The sequence below is a fragment of the Homo sapiens genome, chromosome 9 (genome assembly GCF_000001405.40).
Source record: "Homo sapiens chromosome 9, GRCh38.p14 Primary Assembly".
NCBI lineage: Eukaryota > Metazoa > Chordata > Mammalia > Primates > Hominidae > Homo > Homo sapiens.
Window position 1 is genome coordinate 84170209 of NC_000009.12, and position 3635 is coordinate 84173843.

The 3635-nt window shown below is 44.3% G+C and overlaps 1 annotated feature.

The window, feature by feature from the left end:
- Positions 2771-3280: an enhancer, noted in NCBI's record as "H3K4me1 hESC enhancer chr9:86787894-86788403 (GRCh37/hg19 assembly coordinates)". NCBI's record gives its function as "activates a minimal SCP1, AML or CMV promoter by ChIP-STARR-seq in naive H9 embryonic stem cells {active_cell/tissue: H9 hESC(naive)}" and the evidence as "EXISTENCE:reporter gene assay evidence [ECO:0000049][PMID:30033119]".

Sequence of the window (3635 nt, forward strand, 5' to 3'; positions counted from 1 at the left end):
TGATTCAATTGAGATAAATTTCAAAAACAGGCAAAACTAGTAAATTGTGCTGGAAATCATCCTACTGATTAGCCTAGGGTGCTGGTATTGTTCTATTTCTTTGTTCTGAGGGCTGGTTACATGATTTGCTTATAATTTGTGAACTTTTTTTTTTTTTAATGTTACGTTTCAATACAAGTCTTACTTTAAGAATTTCGCTGAGTCTTTACGGTTCGTAGAAGTGCAGCCACTGCTACCTCAGCAATGCCTTAAATCAGAGGAGCCAGGTTGGATCAAGTGGTTTTTCTATCTCCGAGAATAGCCCTCATTGGCTGGGACACAGAACGCTCATTGGTGGACCCCTGCTAGTGTGTCCGGATGGCCTGGCACCACTGAAGAGGTAGGCCCATTAGGTTCTTGCTGGTGAATGTGGATGAGCACATGCAGTTTGTCACAAGCCCAAATATGCGAAGTCTCTGACAGAAAGTCCCTGGTACGTGACTCCAGCCTGGGCAATGGCAGCGTCTCAGTGTCTCTGCAGTTACTCATTCACTGAGGGGGTGTGTGTGCATATTTGTATGTGTGTGTGTGTGTGTGTGTGTGTGTGTGTTCTTCTCACCCTCCCCAACATTGTTGTCCCTGGAGCTTCTGTAAGTGACAGGACAGAATGAAACAGGGCCTTGTTGAGAGGTGGAAAGCCTGCCAGCTGGCCCTATGGTCTGCTTGGCCCCCAGGAGGCCGTTCCTGACACCTGGTCCCATATGGCAGTGCATGCTCCAGGACATGAGCCAAGCAGTCCCTCCGAGTAACAGAAACACATTCCTAACTCTGTGGTCAGACCAACAGGAGGCAGGGAGGCGGGGTGGAGAGCCTGCGCCTGGAAGTTCAGTGCATGCTGTCAGTACTGCTCTCTTTATCCCTCAGAGCCCTTCCTTCCTTGTGAACAGAAGTCCAGGCATCTCAAAGGTCTCTTCCAGTGTCTGTGATCTTACAATAATGAAAACAAACTTCTTGTTGAGTTTTAGAAGTTCACCAAATTCTTTCCTCAAATCCACTCAGCCCCACTTCTGGCCTCCCTATTGTACATCTGTTTATCTGTCATGATCTAGATCAAATCCGGCTCCCCAGATGAAGTCTCCCTGAGAGAATGTCAATGATCTGCCATACTTGTCGTCTAATTTATATTTTGTTACTTTTATCTATGTCTTAAAAATCCACTTGAGATTGCAAACTCCTTGATGAAAATGGCAGCAGCAGCAGCATCTTTGCATCCTCTGTAGAAAGGATCCCCAAATGTGGGTTGACTGACCTGCAATGATAGCCTGCATCCAAATAACACAGGGTATTTAACAGTTCGGATTTCCACGTGCAACCCCTGGAGATTCTGATTAGAGATCTAGGATGGGATCGAGGGATCTATCTTTAAATAGCATCTGCGGGGTTTCCCACACAAAGCCTGCTCAGAGAGCTCCTCCACCACCTCCTTTATATGGTGATTTGATTAAGTGCCCAATATATATAGGCCGAATGAGTAGAGGAATTTAATTTATCACATCTTTTTTTAGTCATCCTAAAATTTTCCAGAGTTCACAAAGATGTAGCACATAAATCAAGATTGTGACATTTAATGAAAACAATGTCATTGAGTTGTTCCAACAGCATTTTCTAATATTTAGAAATGTTTTGTGCCATGAAGGTAAGATATAAGATTTTATTTCTTGAATTAGTTTTTGGTGTTTGAGTTGAAATGGGCAAACTTTCTTGTGAAGACTTTTGCAGCACTTAATTCTCCTCTCTACCAAGTTCCTTGATGTCTTCCTCCTGTCCCACCTGCCTTCCACTTATAATTTCTGCCAATTTAAGAGAAGTATAAGCTCTTTCCCCCTTTTCTCTTCTTCTGTCAGAATCTGCTATATCTCTTACTCTCTATTTATTCCTCTATCCATTCATTTAATAAATGTTGACTGAGGACTGCTGTGTACCAGGCACAACATTAAATTCTGGGAATGCGGCAGTGAACAGAACAGCCTTGGCTTCTGCCCCTGTGGGATTTACGCTCTCAGTGGGGAAGGCAAATGTGATATAAATAATTACAAATATTAGCTAGAGCCTTTCGGCTTTATCTCATTTGTTAAGCTAATGACATCTAAACTGTTGGCTGCTAATGACTTAACATCTTATTCTTCCCAGATAACATTTCCCGCGAAAAGACTTTAGCACCTTACTTTGAGAAGAAAGGATGAAGTGGAGGGGGAGGAGTTTCAAAAGGAGATCTATTTGTGGAGGGGACGTTTTCTGACATTAAAAAATTATAATATGTAGCTAGATGCCTACTCCACCTGACCAAATTGTCCTCTTATGCTAAAAAACATTGGTTTCAGGTCCTTTGTATAGGATTGTCCAACATGCAGCATATATCCTAATGGTGGGATGCAAGATGTATTAGGTAGTTGAAGCAGATATGGTTAGTGCCCTAAGCAAACTACCTAGGCACTTGCAGTTCCTCGCTGTGCTGATGGCTTCTGTTTTTTGTTTGTTTGTTTTTTGAGACGGAGTCTCGCTCTGTCACCAGGCTGGAGTGCAGTGGCGCAATCTCGGCTCACTGCAATCTCCGCCTCCCGGGTTCAAGCGATCCTCCTACCTCAGCCTCTCGAGTAGCTGGGACTACAGGCGCCCGCCACCATGCCGAGCTAATTTTTTGTATTTTTAGTAGAGACGGGGTTTCACCATGTTGGTCAGGAAGGTCTTGATCTCTTGACCTCGTGATCCGCCCACCTCGGCCTCCCAAAGTGTTGGGATTACAGGCGTGAGCCACCGCGCCCGGCCCGGCCTGTGCTGACGGCTTCTTAACTGCAAATGTCTGTAACTCAGATTGCAGGAGCTGGCTTGCCCACCTTCACAGCGGGCCTGCAGTGGTAGGAGTTAATGGTCACATCCACGAGAGTAGCTTTCAAAGAATGACGAAGGGAAGATGGTGGGTAAAACTCTGAGGCTCATTCTCCAGCTTTCTTAGGGGGTCCGCAGGGATGCAACCCCAAAGACCGTAATGCTCCCTGGATTGACTTTCCTCTCTTCACACTTATTTCCCCGGCCCCCTAGTGGTGCTTCTTGGGAACACCTCTCAAATAGATGATTTGTACTCTAGTCCTAGTCTCAACCCAACCTAAAACAATGGCACATGGGCACATACTTTTATTTTAATGGCCATGTGTTTTAACATGTATTAGAAAAAATATAAATTGCACACCGTATCTGTGATTTCATGGATATTAGTGAAGCTTAAGTTTCAAAAGTGAGTCAATTTAAACCGAAGTGGAAAGTAATGGTATTCGGGTATTTGACAAATCACAAAGGGAGAGTGTGAATGGGGGATAATTGTATTAGAGCTTGAGGTTACCTGTAAACTGGAGCGCTTCCAGCTTTCTGGAATAAACTCAAGGACACTGGTCCTTAATTCAGTGTTCCTGAAAAGACTCCCAGGGGCTCACCAGCCCTTGAGAGATTATGCAAAGTTTTATGTATTTGGATCCTCTTCCTCCCAAAAGTTCATTTGCCTTAGTCTTAGAAAGGCATATTTCACTCAAAGTCAAGAGAGAGAGAGAGAGAGGAAAAAAAAAAGGAAGGAAGAGAGGGAGAGGGGGAGGACAGGCAGACAC